At 57.1% G+C, this 15952-nt stretch overlaps 1 protein-coding gene across 2 annotated transcripts in view, besides 6 other annotated features; it reads right to left on the bottom strand.

Moving 5' to 3' along the window:
• Positions 1–11701, bottom strand: part of FZR1 (fizzy and cell division cycle 20 related 1) — a 32024-nt gene extending 20323 nt beyond the window's left edge. For both annotated transcript variants that reach the window (XM_005259573.6, NM_016263.4), the window contains exon 1: positions 11538–11701. The gene's annotated coding sequence lies outside the window, so the exon portion shown is untranslated. The remainder of the gene's footprint in view (positions 1–11537) is intronic.
• Positions 247–1071: an enhancer, noted in NCBI's record as "H3K27ac-H3K4me1 hESC enhancer chr19:3516939-3517763 (GRCh37/hg19 assembly coordinates)". NCBI's record gives its function as "activates a minimal SCP1, AML or CMV promoter by ChIP-STARR-seq in naive H9 embryonic stem cells {active_cell/tissue: H9 hESC(naive)}" and the evidence as "EXISTENCE:reporter gene assay evidence [ECO:0000049][PMID:30033119]".
• Positions 1072–1898: an enhancer, noted in NCBI's record as "H3K27ac-H3K4me1 hESC enhancer chr19:3516112-3516938 (GRCh37/hg19 assembly coordinates)". NCBI's record gives its function as "activates a minimal SCP1, AML or CMV promoter by ChIP-STARR-seq in naive H9 embryonic stem cells {active_cell/tissue: H9 hESC(naive)}" and the evidence as "EXISTENCE:reporter gene assay evidence [ECO:0000049][PMID:30033119]".
• Positions 10947–11156: an enhancer, noted in NCBI's record as "active region_13738". NCBI's record gives its function as "activates an Ori minimal core promoter by ATAC-STARR-seq in GM12878 lymphoblastoid cells {active_cell/tissue: GM12878}" and the evidence as "EXISTENCE:reporter gene assay evidence [ECO:0000049][PMID:35858748]".
• Positions 11497–11646: a silencer, noted in NCBI's record as "silent region_9847". NCBI's record gives its function as "represses an Ori minimal core promoter by ATAC-STARR-seq in GM12878 lymphoblastoid cells {active_cell/tissue: GM12878}" and the evidence as "EXISTENCE:reporter gene assay evidence [ECO:0000049][PMID:35858748]".
• Positions 11967–12226: an enhancer, noted in NCBI's record as "active region_13737". NCBI's record gives its function as "activates an Ori minimal core promoter by ATAC-STARR-seq in GM12878 lymphoblastoid cells {active_cell/tissue: GM12878}" and the evidence as "EXISTENCE:reporter gene assay evidence [ECO:0000049][PMID:35858748]".
• Positions 12277–12326: an enhancer, noted in NCBI's record as "active region_13736". NCBI's record gives its function as "activates an Ori minimal core promoter by ATAC-STARR-seq in GM12878 lymphoblastoid cells {active_cell/tissue: GM12878}" and the evidence as "EXISTENCE:reporter gene assay evidence [ECO:0000049][PMID:35858748]".

Below are 15952 nucleotides of genomic sequence, written 5' to 3'. Positions count from 1 at the left end.
GAAAGAAACAGTTAGCTGGGTGTGGTGGCATACATCTGTAGTCCCAGGACTCAGGAGGCTGAGGTGGAGGCTGCAGTGAGCTGAGATCGCACCACTGCACTCCAGCCTGGGCAACAGTGCAAGACACTGTCTCAGGAAGGAAAAAAAAAAAAAAAGAACTTTGTTTAGTTACAAATCACAGCATTTCAGATGACCCTTTTTTGTTTATCTTGTTTCACACAGAGACCTTGGTGATGCAATTCATTTCCAGAGACCTAAGTGTGGACAAACAGGAGCGCCCTGGAGTTTTTATCTTTTTAAAATTTTTATTCATTTATTTTTCTGAGATAGAGTCTCACTCTTTTTGCCCAGGCTGGAGTGCAGTGGTGCAATCTCGGCACACTGCAACCTCTGCCTCCCGGGTTCAAGCAATTCTCCTGCCTCAGCTTCTCAAGTAGCTGGGATTACAGGCACTCACCACCACACCCAGCTATTTTTTTGTATTTTTAGTAGAGAGGGGGTTTCATCATGTTGGTCAGGCTAGTCTTGAACTCCTGACCTCAGGTGATCCACACGCCTCAGCTTCCCAAAGTGCTGGGATTACAGGTGTGAGCCACAGCGCCCAGCCAGGATTTTTATTTTTGAGACCGGGTCTCACTCTGTCACCTAGGCTGGAGAGCAGTGGTGCAATTATGGCTTACTGCAGCCTTTGCCTCCTAGACTCAAGTGATCCTCCTGCCTCAGCCTCTGGAGGAGCTGCGACCACAGGTGTACTCCACCAGACCCAGCCACTTTTTGTATTTTTTGTAGAGATGGAGGCTTCCCATGTTGCCCAGGCTGGTCTCGAACTTCTGGGCTCAAGCAATCTGCCTGCCTCTGCCTCCCAGAGTGCTGGGGTTACAGGTGTGAGCCACCGCGCCCAGCTGGCATTTTTCCAGAATGAGAGAATGTAAACAAGTGTCACTGGCAGCAGCGGTGGTAACCGCGTGCACTGAGGCACTTGCTGGCAGAGTCTGGTTGTGATTGGCTAAAATATCATCCCCCACTTCCCCAGAACACTGATGCTGCCCTGAAGTCAGCACTGAAAGCAAATACACCGGGCGCCAGCTGCAGCTGCACACGGCCCCTGGCACACATCGCTGCCCAGCAGCACATGGCTGCACCTGACAAGCCCTCCGGGGCAACAGAGACGCCGTGAGCCAATGGCCCAAACGTTGCCAGGTGGGCAGCAGCTGTCAGTCTACTGGCCACACAACTCACTCAACGCTGCCCAAGGCTGGTGGGCAAAACCACAGGGCCCAGGCCTGCCCAGCAGCCTGAGACCCAGCTCCTGTCTGTCCCTGCAGTGAGGGCAGGGGTGCACAAGACGGGTGTGCAGACTGTCTTCCCACCTCCGAGATCTGGAGGGTCCTGTATCCCGGGCCTGGGGCCTCCCGGGGCACCTCACCTGGACACTTGCCCGGTGCTGCTAGCGGTGCTCAGCTCAGCTCCGGGACCCCCAGCGACCCCTCTAAGCCCCTCGCTCAGCTGCGCTGCAGGAAGAACAAAATCCAGGAGCCATAAGAGGCATGGCTGTGGAATTCAACACCGGGAAAATTGGGAGTCCGCAGGGCAGACACACCACCAACACAGTTAAAAAACAGATGACAAACTGAGGGAAGCACCTGCCACCCACAGGAGAGCCCAAAGTAGCAAAGGACACCAACAAACCGCACTGGGAAAGGACCAGTCCTCCCTCGCAGTCAGGAGCTGCCAATCCAACCGAGGACACCACCCTCCCGCCCGTCAGACGGTGGGGGAGGCTGTGGGCTGGGGGACTCGGCCTCACCATCCCAGGCGTGGGGAGAGACAGCCACACGCACTCATGGTTGGCAGAAGCTGCAAACTGCTACGGCTTCAAAGGAAGGCAATTTGGCAACTGCTTCCAAAATTTAAAAAATGCACATCCTCTGTGATGCGGTATTTCTACTTCTAAGAATTTATCCTTAGAAACTCAGCATGCATGTGTGCAGAGATGGAGTCACTGCGGCAGCTAGTCAGAGTGGAAGACGCAAGAGGCCATCAGACAGGGAGCGGAAGAGGCTGTGAGACCCACTGCACAGAAAAATGGCCATGCAGAGCACACTGCTCCCAGAAGGTTCGAAAAGCGGCTGGTCATGGGGTGGGTGGGGAGAGGAAGGAGAGGACGAGGATTGGGGAGGAAAGAAGCCTTATTTCTCCTGGCACCTCGTTTTGTACTTCTTGAATTCCTTTTTTTTTTTTTTTTAGAGACGGAGTCTGGCTCTGTCACCCAGGCTGGACTGCAGTGGTGCGATCTCTGCTCACTGCAAGCTCCGCCTCCTGGTTCACACCATTCTCCTGCCTCAGCCTCCCGAGTAGCTGGGACTACAGGGGCCCGCCACTGTAGTGCCTAATTTTTTGTATTTTTAGTAGAGACGGGGTTTCACAGTATTAGCCAGGATGGTTTCGATCTCCTGACCTTGTGATCCGCCCGCCTCGGCCTCCCAAAGTGCTGGGATTACAAGCGTGAGCCACCGCGCCCGGCCTGTACTTCTAGAATTCTGTATCACGTGAACTGTGAGGTATTCAAAAAAACAAACCACGGTCAGAGATGGGCCAGGCAGGCTCCGGATGAGACCGGGCACCACCGCATTCTCCCTCCTTTGCTGGATGCTCGGAAGGTTTCATCGTAAAAGGTTAGAGTAGAGAGAAATCAGGATCTTAAGCTGCTGTTAAGTAATTCCTGAGCACAGACAACGTGTGTGGCCGTGTGGAAAGGCTCAGACCGGGTCGAGGGAGTTTAGCAGCAACCCGGACCCTCGCTGCACATCAGCAGTGAATCAGTGAGTGACTCGTGCTCCGCCAGGCCCTGCAGAGGTTCTTGTCCCTGGCCCGGGGGTGCCTAGTGGGGATGCTGCTGTGGCTCTGCCTGTGTGGCCGACACCTGCAGCTTGGTTGCCCTGGTCTGGGTGGTGGACCCGGGCCCTGGGCCACCGGGCTTCCTGCTGCCCCATCCCCTTGGCAGGGCACTGCCCTGTGGGTCCTGCAAACCCCCTGGGCCAGCTCATAGGGAAGGTCCACCTTTCACCCCCTGGGCCCCAGAATGAAGAGCCAGGAGGCCTCCTTCTGCCACTGCCCCGGGCAAGCCTTCAGTCTCGAGCTTCTTCCTGTTCCCCTGGGAAATGGGCATGACCCAGTCACCTGACAAAACAGTGACAGGGCCCCCGTACAGAGGGAGACGCCCTGGGATAAATATGTGGAAAAAAATGGAGTCGGCCCCTGCTCACACCAGACACCAGAATAAGCCTCCGATGGGGCAGACAGCACAAACCAGGGGGACTCCAGCTCCTGAGATTCACCTCCTCTCTCCCTCCCACTCAGGGTATGGATTTCAATGTGTGCAGCCTCCTGGGACCTCAGCAGGGCAGAGGATCATGGGACGCAGAGTCTCTTGGGGGTCCATGGAATCCCATAACCCAGGGGGTCTTAACCAGGGTGATTCTGCCCCCAGGGTATGATATATGGTGATGTCTGGGGACATCTGTGGTTGTCATGACTGGGGGTGCCCCTGGCGTGGAGTGGGTGGAGGCCAGGGACGCTGCTCAGCACCCTGTAGTGCCCAGGACGGCCGCACCCCAGAGAACGATCCGGCCCCAATGTCCACAGGGTGCAAGGGCAGAGACCCTGCTCTCGGGCAAAACCAGGGAAGTGACTTGAATGAGCGAGACCTGCAGAGTGTGGCCAGGCATCCCCAGCCCCATCCCCACTGCACCAGTGGGGAGAGGAGGAAAGGGAGCCGATGAGGCACTGTTTGTGGGGGCCAATGGCACGGCACGATTTGTCTCCAGGCTCGACTTTGAGGTGTCCCTGAGTGGGGACGCAAAGCGTGAGGGGCTGTCTGCCGTGTAGACAGGGCCTGGGAACAGCACCAATGCAAAGCCCCCAAGGTCTCCCCTGGTGCGGGATCTTCCTCAGGAACACAGCACTCTGGTTCCTGGAGGCTCAGCCAAGCTCCTACTCCTGCAACGCCTTGCTTGGCTGGGAAAACTGGTCCCCACTGTTTTCATATTTTTTTCAGGCTCTTTAACGGACAAAAGGAATTGAAACATCCCAATGACGGATCTTTTATGACTCATGTGTTGAGGCTGACTATGGTCTGGATGTGCCACCTATGGTATACACCAGGGCATCCCCCCACCCTGGCCCAGTGGACACTGGGGCAGGACCGCCTTGGGTAAGGGTAACTCCAGCCTGCAGGTGAGGCGGCACTTGCTACCCACAGGGGACGTGGAGCAGGTAAGGGAGGAGGGAACACCGACCAGAGCCTCATGGGTGCCGCCACATCCCGTGCGGGCTCCTGGCCCAGGGGCAGAGCATCAGAACACACATGGGGCTAGGACAGAGGCAAACCTTGCCCGTGCCTACCAGCTGGCACAGCTGGAAGCACTCAGTGTGCTTGACTGAATGTCCTTGGGACAGCAGGTGGGCAGGCGCCATTGCATCTTGGGGCCTGGGACAGCACCCTCTGCTCAAGGTCCCCATGCAGTTGGTGAGGGTAGAGCTGGGACGTGAATCCAGCCAGTCTGGGTCTGGCTCTGTGCCCACTCCCTGGCCCTTGCCCCAGGAGGCGAAGTGTCCTAGACTCAGCACTCGGCCCAGCCCTGCCCACGGGGAAGCTGCAAGGCACTGCCTCCTGCTGGAGTCTCCGCAGAGTGGTTCCAGCAGGAGGCCTCCGACTAAGGATCACTGGATGGTGGTGACAGAGCTCGGGGGTGGGCCGGGACACAGCCCCTCACAGGTCCCGACCCCTGCAAAGTTGCTGGATGGCGGTGACAGAGCCAGGGGGTGGGCTGGCTAACAGCCCTCACAGGTCCCAACCCCTGCAAAGTTGCAAAGTGCTCCTGCCTGAGGGGTCCCAGGTGTCCCCAGACCACCTGTGAGGCCCTGGCCCAGGTGCCCTCCCAGAGAGCCCCCTCCTCATGTGAAAGGCAAGGGACTGCGCTGGGTGCCTGGGCGTGATGTCCAGCCATCCTCTGCGGGGCTAGGGAGAAGCACCAGATAAGAAAGACCCCCCACAAAAAAATGGGGGGTCACCCAGCTATCCGCTGTCTGCTCTCACTGGATCTGGGAGTTTCTGGGGAGGTTTGCCTCCTGCCCTGCGCCCAGGAGTGTCATTTATGAAGCACGGCTTCACAAGCGTCACCTCATCCCACTAATCTCATTCCCAGCCACTCCTCAGAGGAGGACTCTAGATGGCTCTCTCGGGTCACATTTGGATGTCCTCGGTGTCATGATGTGATTAAGGGGGCAGCCGTGCCAGCTGCATAGATGGCCTTGTCAGAGCACGTGAGCCCCCCACCAGCACCACCCCACCCAGCACACGCGGCCCTCAGCCCTGCAGCTCCAGGGACCCAAGGCGGGCGAAGCACCCAGACACCCTTATCGCTAACCCTCCTTGTGCCCTCCCATGAAAGTAAACCAAGTCCCATGAAAAGGTTCTAGCAGGGTCCATCAGAAAGAGTGTGGGCTTTCGACGGGATCAGCCCAGGCTGAGTCCCAGCTTCAACCCTTCCTGGCCACGAAGCTTTGGGCAGCTTCACCTCTTGGGACATCAGTTTCTTCATCAGTTAAGCAGGGACAACACTGCCTGCCTAGGAAGCTGTGAAATCAGGCATGAGGTCTACGAGGCAGCAGGCACCCGGCATGACCCAGAGAAGATGCTTGGTGAGAGCTGGCTGGGCCCAGGACTCATGACAGGTGCACACACGGCCCCAGAGGTGCTCAGTGGATGCTGGCTGGGCCCGGGACTCATGACAGGGGTACGCAGGTCCCCAGACTGCTCCCTGCTCCTTCGTCCTTGGGCATGGCGGTGCCTTGGCAGCCAGGATGCTGCCCCAGTGACCTCCTGTCCACAGACCATGACACTTATCTCCTCCCATGCTGCCCCCATCAGTCTCAGAGAGGAGGGAGGACGTCAGAGAAATGGGGCTCCCGGGGCAGGTGGCCGTGGTTGCAGGGGTGGACTGACACAGGGGAGAGGTGGACTCTGGACCAGAACCAGAGCCGGGGCCTAGCGGAGAGACCACTGAGGCACAGAGATCTCTGCAGGGAGCAACCCCCACCTGCAGAAGAACAAGCTGAGCTGGCGGCCTCTGACCTCTACAAACGCAAAGACACAGCCAAGAGTAGCCAAGTAAAAAAGGGTGGGGCCCAGACCCTTGGCAGGGGACAGCGTGCCTTCCAGGGTGCCCGTGTGAGCCATGGCGAGGCGAGTTACTGTTGGAGGCCGGTGCCTGGGCCCCGGGAATACACCCCGTGCACGTCATTCATTCATTTACTCACGCCGCCACCTGCCAGCCGACGCCTCCCCACCAACCAGCCATGTGCCATGTGGGTTCTAGGTGCTGACCCAGGCGCCGCAAAGCAGAGCCAAGCTGCTGCCCCCACTGGGTGTGCAGCCTATTTTTCTCTTCTTGTTTTTAAAATATAGAGATGGGGGTCAGGGTCTCCCTATGTTGCCCGGGCTGGTTTCAAACTCCTGGGCTCAAGCAATCCTCCTGCTGAGGCCTCCCAAAGTGCTGCGATTCCAGGCGTGAGCCTCTGTACCCAGCCGGCAGGCAGTCTAGAGTGAATAGCAGTCTAGAGTGGATGAGAAGCATCCCCAGGGTCTACTCGGCCAGCAGCTCTCACCCTCTTCCCTGTGTGGGGGGCAGCTCCCACCTCCAGCCCACTCCCGTGAGAACTGCTCTCCACACTTCCAAATGGTGCCTGCAGATAAAAGACCCGAGGTTGCTCATCTCCAGCCTCCTGGTACCACCGAGTACCCACAGCCCTGTCTGACTTGATGACACCTTCAGACCTAAAAGACACCTGGGTCTGCGGCAGCACAAAAGGCTGCAGTGCCCCACGTGAGGAGGAAGGCAGCGTGGCACCACGCCTGTGGTCTCTCAGGATCGGATGGAGCGCCATCAGGTTCCCGAGGCCCGCACATCTCTGCATCTCTGTCTGTGTCATGCAGCTCCCACCCACGGGTCCCAGGCGAGGTGAGGCGGTAGCAATAGAAACCCAGTCCGGGGAGTTCATGGCGAGGGCCCCAACCTCAGCGCTGCGGACATTTGGGCCGGAACGCTGTCTATGGCGGGGAGTCCTGGGCTCTGCGGGGCGCTGAGCAGCATCACTGGCCTCCACTCACTCCATGCCAGGAGCGCCCCCCAGTTGTGACAATGCACAGATGTCCCGAGGTGTTGCCCAGTGCCTGTGGGGGCGGAGTCACCCAGGTGGGGAATGCATGGATGAGGGGGATCCTGAGGGGGATCCTTAAGTGGAAGAGTTGCTCTCCAGGGCAAACAGACCAGCACTGGCCTCCCACACTCCTCAGCCCTCCGGTGAAAGCAGACAGATGCCCACTGCCCACCCTCTCTCTGCTCCCATCATCCTTCCACCACCGACCCAGTGGCCTGCAGGCTGGTGGGGATGAGAATATAGAGGTTCCCAGGCCAAATCTGATCTGGGAGAGAGGAAGATTCACAACAGAAGGGAATGTGTGCAAAACAGCACAGGAATCTGAACGGCCTGCCGCTCTCCAGAACCCAGCAGTGTGGCCGGGCATGCTGGCTCCGCCAGTAATCCCAGAGCTTTGGGAGGCCAGGGCAGGAGGATCACTTGAGCCCAGGACTTCAAGGCCAGCCTGAGCAACATGGTAAAACCCCGTCTCTACAGAAAATACAAACATTAGCCAGGTATGGTGGCGCGCCTGGAGTCCCAGCTACTCGGGAGACTGAGGTGGGCAGATTACCTGAGGCTGGAAGGTCGAGGCTGCAGTGAGTTGTGATTGCGCCACTGCACTCCAGCCTAGGTAACAAAGTGAGACTCCATCTCAAAAAGGAAAAAGAAAAAAGAAAAAAATCAGAACCGTGCAGCAATTTGGGAAGGCTGGGGTGGAAGGGACATGCTGGGGGCAGGAGGACAAGGTGGAAAGGTTGGAAGGCAGGTCTCTAGAGCTGGGCTCACGGTGGTTGCATGGGGTTGACACCATCAGACACGATCAGCCGGCGAGTGGAGGCACCAGCGCCTCAGTCACAGAGCAACAAGGACGGTCGCCACACAACCACCAGCGCCTGCCTCTTCGCAGCAGCTCAACTCACAACAGGCAGACACTGGAAACAGCACCAACGTCCACTGAATAAGGAGACGCACAAAACCCGGTGCCTCCACATCACGGAACATGACTCAGCCACGACAAAGAGCAGGGCTCTGACTCAGGCCACAGCCTAGACGCACCTTGAGGACATCACACTCAGTGAGAGATGCCAGACACAAAAGGCCACACAATGTGGGATTCCATTTCTATGAAATGTCCGGGACAGGCCCAGCCACAGAGGCAGGGGAGACAGGTGGTGGCGGCTGATGGGGTCAAGGCTGGTTTCTTCCTGAGGGAATGAGAATGCTCCAGAATTGGGCAGAGGTGATGGCGGCCCGAGCCTGTGAACATATAAAAACCAGGGAACTGCACGCTCTAAAGCAGTGAATCGTGCGGCAGGAGAAGTGTATCCAAATAAAGCTACTACGAGCAAAAATTAAATAAAGAAAGAAGGGCCAGTGAAGAAGCCTGAAGGAAGAACCAGACGGAGTAGGAAGCCAAGAGAGAGTGGGGGTGTTCACCGTTGTGGGGGCGGTGTGTCATTCGTGGTCAGTGGCGGCTGAGTGACTGAATGAGGCGCGGCCAGGCAGGCTGCTTGTGTGCCCCTCATCCCATCCATGAATGAGGACACTGAGGCAGAGGAAGGCAGTCACCTGCCAACGCACACAGGGACCTGGGGCCACTGGGGACATGAACGTCCCTGGACGAGAACATAAGTGGCCCAGGAAGGGGCTCTGGCTCTGTGCTGAGTCCAGTGGCTGGGAAGAACAGTGACATGTGGGCAAGGCAGTGACAAGCGGAGTTGACGAGCAGGTCACTGGTGACCACAGGGAGGTGTCGGGGGCAGAAGAGAGATGAGGTCAAACACTCCCTTTCCTGCTGGTAGGTGCCCAGGTCCCTGTGGCAGTGCCAACAGGGGGCCCGCTGTGGGCAAGCACACAGCCCAGGGCACTGAGCAGGCCGGAGGCGGAGCGGGGACCAGGCAGGCACACTCACTGCCCTCACGGGGCTCACAGTCCAGACATTGGGGACAGGCTGCTTTCTGTACTGGGCCGTTCTGGGCACAGTGGGGGCACTGAGCAGCATGCCTGGCTCAAATACTGCCAAATGTCCCCTGGGGACAGAATTGGGCAGTGGAGAGCTTTGCGCCAGGAGAAAGGAGTGACAGCGCTGAGTTCCTAGAAGACCAAGCCCCTGGATCTTCACCTCTGCCTGGAGTCCCCGGGAGCGGCCCTACACACACAGACTTTCCATCCTCTCCCCTCTAAATGACACCAAGCAAAAGGTCCTCAGAACCAATTCCATTCTGGGACTCCCAAACCCAGAAGTTCTCAGTCTACAAAACCCCTCTACCAGAAACCCCATTAAACAGTAAGTGGTTTGAAAATCAACGTAAGGCCGAGCGCGGTGGCGCACGCCTGTAATCACAGCACTTTGGGAGGCCTCGAGGCGGGCAGATCGCCTGAGGTCAGGAGTTGGAGACCAGCCTGGCCAACATGGTGAAAACCTGTCTCTACTTAAAATACAAAAATAGCCGGGCGTGGTGCGCACACCTGTAATCCCAGCTACTCAGGAGGCTGAGGCAGGAGAATCACTTGAACCTGGGAGGCAGAGGTTGCGGTGAGCCGAGATCGCGCCACTGGACTTCAGCCCAGAGCGAAACTCCATCTCAAAAAAAAAAAAAAAAAAAAAGAAAATCAATGTAGCCCCACCTTGAAGACCAATCCGGCTTGTCTGTTTCTAGAAACTCCTCCTCCAAACCCCAAAGCCCCACCCCAACCCCTACCCCCACCACTGCCTGCAGCCAGGGCACAGGTTCTGAAATTTGACCTGGGAAGCAAGTCACAGGGGCAAACTGGCGGGTACCACCTTGCCAAGATACCCCTCCCCAGTAAAGCACCGGGCTTGCCTTTGAGTAAGTGTCTGCTCCCTTAGCAAAACCCTCTGCAACCCAACTCCGCTCGCTGCTCAAGGCGCCGGGCAGCGGCCAGTGGCCAGCACACCTGCCTCCACTTGGGATTCCGAAGGAAATGACAATCGGGTGTCGCCAAAACACACGGGCCCCTGACACAGGAGGAGGCCCACGCGGAATTCCGCATGACAGACGGCCCCCGACACATCCACTCCGGGGACCAAACCTAGGTGATGCCGTCAGCTTCTATCCCCACCCCCACCCCGAGAGAGACCACTCCGCCTTCACTTCAAAGTCCCCGCAGGCTGCCCTCATGCTGGTGGTGTGTGTCCTTGGTGGATGGTTTTCCCTTAGGTAAATCACCCTCCTTCAAAGCACATAGGTTGGGGTGGGGGCCTCACCACGGAGAGGCATGAGGTCATCGCCCGGTAGACTGGGGCGGGGCGGGGGAATCGGAACCAGAGAGACGCCCTGAACCAGAGGATGAGTTTGGGGTGGAGAAAACAGGGGAAAAGACAAAACAGATTTAGGCTGAACATCTGCATATCGGGGGTCTCAGGACGTGGGGTGGAGACAGGTCTGGACGGTGGAAGAGGGGGAGGGGGTGTCACAGGTTTGAGTAGGGGTAAAACGGCTCTGAATGGGGGGCACACTCCATATTCTGGGGATCCGAGATGGCCAGGCTTGCGTTTGGAGAAGACACGGGGCAGGACGCAGGACGGAGGTTCAGTTCGGAGGAGGGAGGGGCTTGTGCACGGATAGCTCGTCTGAGGCTTTGGTGGGAGAGCTGGATTTCGGGGGAATGGGGGCTGGTAGGGGGCACGCTGGGAGGGTGGGGGAGCAGAAATCAGCGAGATGAGGTGAGACGGGGACATCCATGCACTCAACCCGTGCCTGCGGGGACTGGTGGACACAACAGTGACCACAGACACAGGTTTCCGGGTGTCCCGGGCTGGGACTGCATTTTACTGGGGCGAGGGGCTGGTTGCGGCCTGGGCGAGCCATCGCACACCACAGGCTCAGCGATGGGGGGCGGCTTCGTGTGGGCAGGACCCAAGCTGGGAGGGTCTGAACTGGGAAGTCCCGGGGATGACAGGCCAGGGAGAAATCACCCGGGTTAGGAGGCGGGGTCTGCTGTTCTAGGGGTGCGCAGTGGGGTCCCCTGGTTGGGGGTGCAGGGCTCAGCCTATTTTAAAAAGAATGGTGGACGCTGACGGCGGCTGCGGGGAGGTCACGACTTACAGGTGGCTCGGGGTGGGGGTCACGGCAGGCCCCGACGTGGGGGGGACGCTGGGATTTGGGTGTTAACTCGGGAGACGCGGATGCTGAGGTCACCCGGGCCTAGTTCGGCCTGGGAGGCGGCATTCGAGGGGACTGGGGGCTCCTGGAGGGGCCTGAGCTGGGGTGGGGGTCGCAGCCCGCCCCGCCGTCCCGGTTTTGGGGGGTCGCAGTCAAGCTCCGCCGCCTAGGGCCCGGGGGGCGGGTCCCCGACCCCGGCCGCCTCACCTGGCTCGCTCCCGTGGCTCGCTGGCTCCCGCCGACCCCGCCTCTCCTGGCACCGCACAGCGCCCGCCTCCGGCCTCCGCAGCTCCCGCAGGCCCGGCCGCGGCCGCCGCTGACGGGATCCCGGGCTCCGCGGTCCCTAATATGGCGGCGGTCGCTCCTCCGCTGCCTCCCGGCTCCCTCCCTCCGCCGCGCGCGCCCGGCCGGCCGCGCGCACCCCCGCAACCCGACCACGCCCCCACGCCGCGCGCGGCTAATCGCGGCCACGCCCCCCGCCTACCCCACACACCGCCAGGCCCTGCCCAACACCCAGCCAGGCCCTGCCCACTCCGAGTGGCTGCGCCTGCGCGCGTTGGGCATCTCGGGAGGACGTGACGTCTCCCGCGATTCAAATCAATACAGGAAGCGCGGCTCCACGCGTTGCCCAGGGCAACCGCGGCCGGAAGAGGACCCGCGGGGTGCTAGACGTTGCAGAAATGGCTCTGGTAGATGGAGGGCGTGGTTCCCACTGGGGACAGTCGCGGAATGGGGCGCCCCAGGGCAGACCCTTCCTAGGGTAGATCGAAGCCAGGCACACCTCAGTGCGGCATTGACGTCGCGCCTAATGAGCGCAGATGGGACCCAACACCAGGTGCGTGTCCCGAACGTACAAACGTCACTGCTGAGAGTCATTAATTTATTCAACAAACCTGCATTGCGCTCCTAAGTGCTGCTCCTCCAGGCCCCAGTGAGACAGCAGGGAACAAAACAGGTTTTTAGGCCAGGTGCGGTGGCTCAAGCCTGTAATCCCGGCACTTTGGGAGGCCGAGGCGGGCGGATCACCTGAGGTACGGAGTTAATCCCAGCTACTCGGGAGGTTGAGGCAGAAGAATCCCTTGAACCCAGGAGGCAGAGGTTGCAATGAGCCGAGATTGCGCCACTGCACTTCAGCCAGGGTGACAGAGCAACACTACGTCTTGAAAAAAAAAACAAAAAACAGGTTTTTAAAAAAATTATGGGCCGGGCGCGGTGGCTCACGCCTGTAATCACAGCACTTTGGGAGGTGGAGGTGGGTGGATCACCTGAGGTCAGGAGTTCGAGACCAGCCTGGCCAACATAGTGAAACCCCGTCTCTACTAAAAATACGAAAAATTAGCCAAGCATCGTGGCAGGCGCCTGTAATCCCAGCTACTGGGGAGACTGAGGCAGGAGAATTGCTTGAACCCGGGAGGCAAAGGTTGCAGTGAGCCAAGATCGCACCATTGTACTCCAGCCTAGGCAACAGGGCAAGACTCAGTCTCAAAAAAAAAAAAAAAAAAAAAAAGGTTAAACATAGAATTGCCACATGACACAGCAGTAACACTCCTAGGTATCTACCCAAGAGAAACAAACATGTAACATCCACGCAAAAACTCACACACCTATGTGCATAGCAGCTTTATTCATAACATCCACAAAGTGCACACAACCCAAATGTACATCCACAGATGAAGGGAAAATGCTCCATTCATACAATGACACGGTGTTTTGCAATATGAGGCAATGAGGCTCGGACACAGGCTACAGATTGGATGAACCTCGAAAGCATCATGCCCAGTGAAAGAAGCCAGATACAAAAGACCACATAGTGAGTGATTCCATTGATACGAAATGTCCAGATAAGCAAATCCATAGAGACAGGAAGTGGATTAGTGGTTGCCAAGGGCTGGGAGAGGGGGATCAGGAGTGACTGGAATGGACTTTATTTTGGGGGGTTGATGGATATGTTCTAAAATTGATGTGATGGCCGTGAGCTGTGGCTCACACCTGTAATCCCAGCACTTTGGGAGGCTGAGGCGGGCAGATCACTTGAGGTCAGGAGTTCAAGATCAGCCTGGCCAATCTGGTGAAACCCCATCTCTACTAAAAATACAAAAATGAGCCGGGTGTGCTGGCGCGCACCTGTAGTCCCAGCTACTCGGGAGGCTGAAGCAGGGGAATCACTTGAACCCGGGAAGTGTAGGTTGCAGTGAGCCCAGATCATGCCACCACACTCCACCTTGGGTGTCAAAGCAAGACTCCGTCTCGGAAAAAAAAAAAAAAAATTTATGTGATGATGGCTGCCCGACTCTGAATATACTAAACACCACTGAATTATCACTTTACACAGATGAATTGTACAGTATGTAAACTATATCTCAATACAGCTGTTATTTAAAAAGTTCTTGCCCGGCGCAGTGGCTTGCGCCTATAATCCCAGTGCTTTGGGAGGCCAAGGAGGGCGGATTATGAAGTCAAGAGATCGAGACCATCCTGGTCAACATGGCGAAACCTCATCTCTACTAAAAATACAAAAATTAGCTGAGCGTGGTAGCACGCGCCTGTAATCCCAGCTTCTCGGGAGGCTGAGGCAGGAGAATCCCTTGAACCCGGGAGGCGGTGGTTGAAGTGAACCGAGATTGCACCACTGCACTCCAGAAAAAAAAAAAAAAATCCCCTTTGGAGCTGAGTTAAGGAGAAAAGAGAACAGGGAAAAGGAGGAGGCAAGAGGTTACAGTTTCAGATGCAGTGCTCGGGGATGCTCTTATTGCAAAGATGATGTTTTAATAAAGATCTGAAAGAGGAGCTGGGCGCAGTGACTAACGGCTGTAATCCCGGCACTTTGGTAGGCCGAGGTGGGCAGATTACTTGAGGTCAGGCCTTCAAGACCAGCCTGGCCAACATGGTGAAACCTCATCTCTACTAAAAATACAAAAATTAGCCGGGCATGGTAGCAGGCCCCTGTATTCCCAGCTACTCGGGAGGCTGAGGGAGGAGAATCGTTGGAACCCGGGAGGCAGAGGTTGCGGTGAGCTGAGATCGCGCCACTGCACTCCAGCCTGGGCAACACAGCAAGACTCTGTCTCAGAAGAATAAAATAAAAGGAGAGGAGAGGGAGATTCTAACACAGAAACACAGAGACAGACACACAGGGGTCAAGGCCAGGTGATGACAGTGGCAGAGATTGGAGTGACGAAGCCACAAGCTGAGAAACACCAAGGACTGGCGGCCACCCCCAGAAGCTGGAAGAGGCAGGAAGGATCCTCCCCTGGAGCCTCCAGAGAGGCCACAGATCTGCAGATACCTGGATTCCAGACTTCCGCCCCCCAGGGACTTGCTCAATCCCAGAGGACCCACCGAACAGAAGACGCAGACTTGGTTCTTCTGTGCTATCAGTTTCTCGAAGGTCTACAGAGGCCAGATGCCAAGTTCTCTGACTTACACAGGCCTTGCTTTTGGCTGAGGCTTCGATATCTGCGTCCTGCACCCTGGGATTATCTCCTCCTGGGGAGCATCCTTGGGGCCAGTCACACCTGGCACCCTGCCCTCGTAGCCTTCCTGAGTCAGCACAGCTCCTGGTCCACGGGAAGTCCTCCGTAAACAGCCTGAGCCACAAACATGTTGAGATGACGTCCTCGCAAGGCAGCTGAGGGCTGCAGTGATGCCTGTTATCTGCAGTCAGTTTTCCAACACATAGGAAGGCAATACAATAATTTAAAAAAAAAAAGGGGGGGTGGGCCGTGCACGGTGGCTCACGCCTGTAATCCCAGCACTTTGGGAGGCCGAGGCGGGCGGATCACGAGGTCAGGAGATCGAGACCATCCTGGCTAACACGGTGAAACCCCGTCTCTACTAAAAATACAAAAAAATTAGCTGGGCTTGGTGGTGGGCACCTGTCGTCCCAGCTACTTGGGAGGCTGAGGCAGGAGAATGGCGTGAACCCAGGAGGCGGAGCTTGCAGTGAGCTGAGATCGCCCCATTGCACTCCAGCCTGGGTGACAGAGCGAGACTCTGTCTCAAAAAAATAAAAGTGGGGGTGTCAGCTCCATGAGGCCAGACACTGTGTCTGTTTTGTCCTGTGTCCTCTGTGCCCAGGACACTATCCTCTGTGCTCAGGACACTGTCCAGCACACAGTAGTTGCTCAATAAGTATTTGTGAATGTTGTCTTAAAATAGAAGTTGGCCTTCCAAAAGGATTTCTTTGCTATGCACAGCATTTTATGTTTTTTCATTAATTTTTATTTAATTATTTTTTTGAGATGGAGTCTCACTCTGTCACCCAAGCTGGAGTGCAGTGACGCGATCTTGGCTCACTGCAACTTCCGTCTCCTGGGTTCAAGTGATGCTCCTGCCTCAGACTCCTGAGTAGCTGGAATTACAGGCACCCGCCACTAGGCCAAGCTAATTTTAGTATTTTTAGTAGAGATGGGGTTTCAGCATGTTGGCCATGCTGGTCTTGAACTCCTGACCACAAGTGATCCACCTGCCTTGGCCTCCCAAAGTGCTGGAATTACAGGCGTGAGCTACAATGCCCAGCCATGTTTTTTTATTAATTGCTCATTTTTTTTTTTTTTTTGAGATGGGGTCTTGCTCTGTCACCCAGGCTGGAATCCAGTGGTGTGATTACAGCTCACTGGATC

Source organism: Homo sapiens, chromosome 19 (genome assembly GCF_000001405.40).
Source record: "Homo sapiens chromosome 19, GRCh38.p14 Primary Assembly".
Classification (NCBI taxonomy): domain Eukaryota; kingdom Metazoa; phylum Chordata; class Mammalia; order Primates; family Hominidae; genus Homo; species Homo sapiens.
Note: the sequence above shows the minus strand (reverse complement) of the source record. Positions and strands in the feature narration are given on the sequence as shown.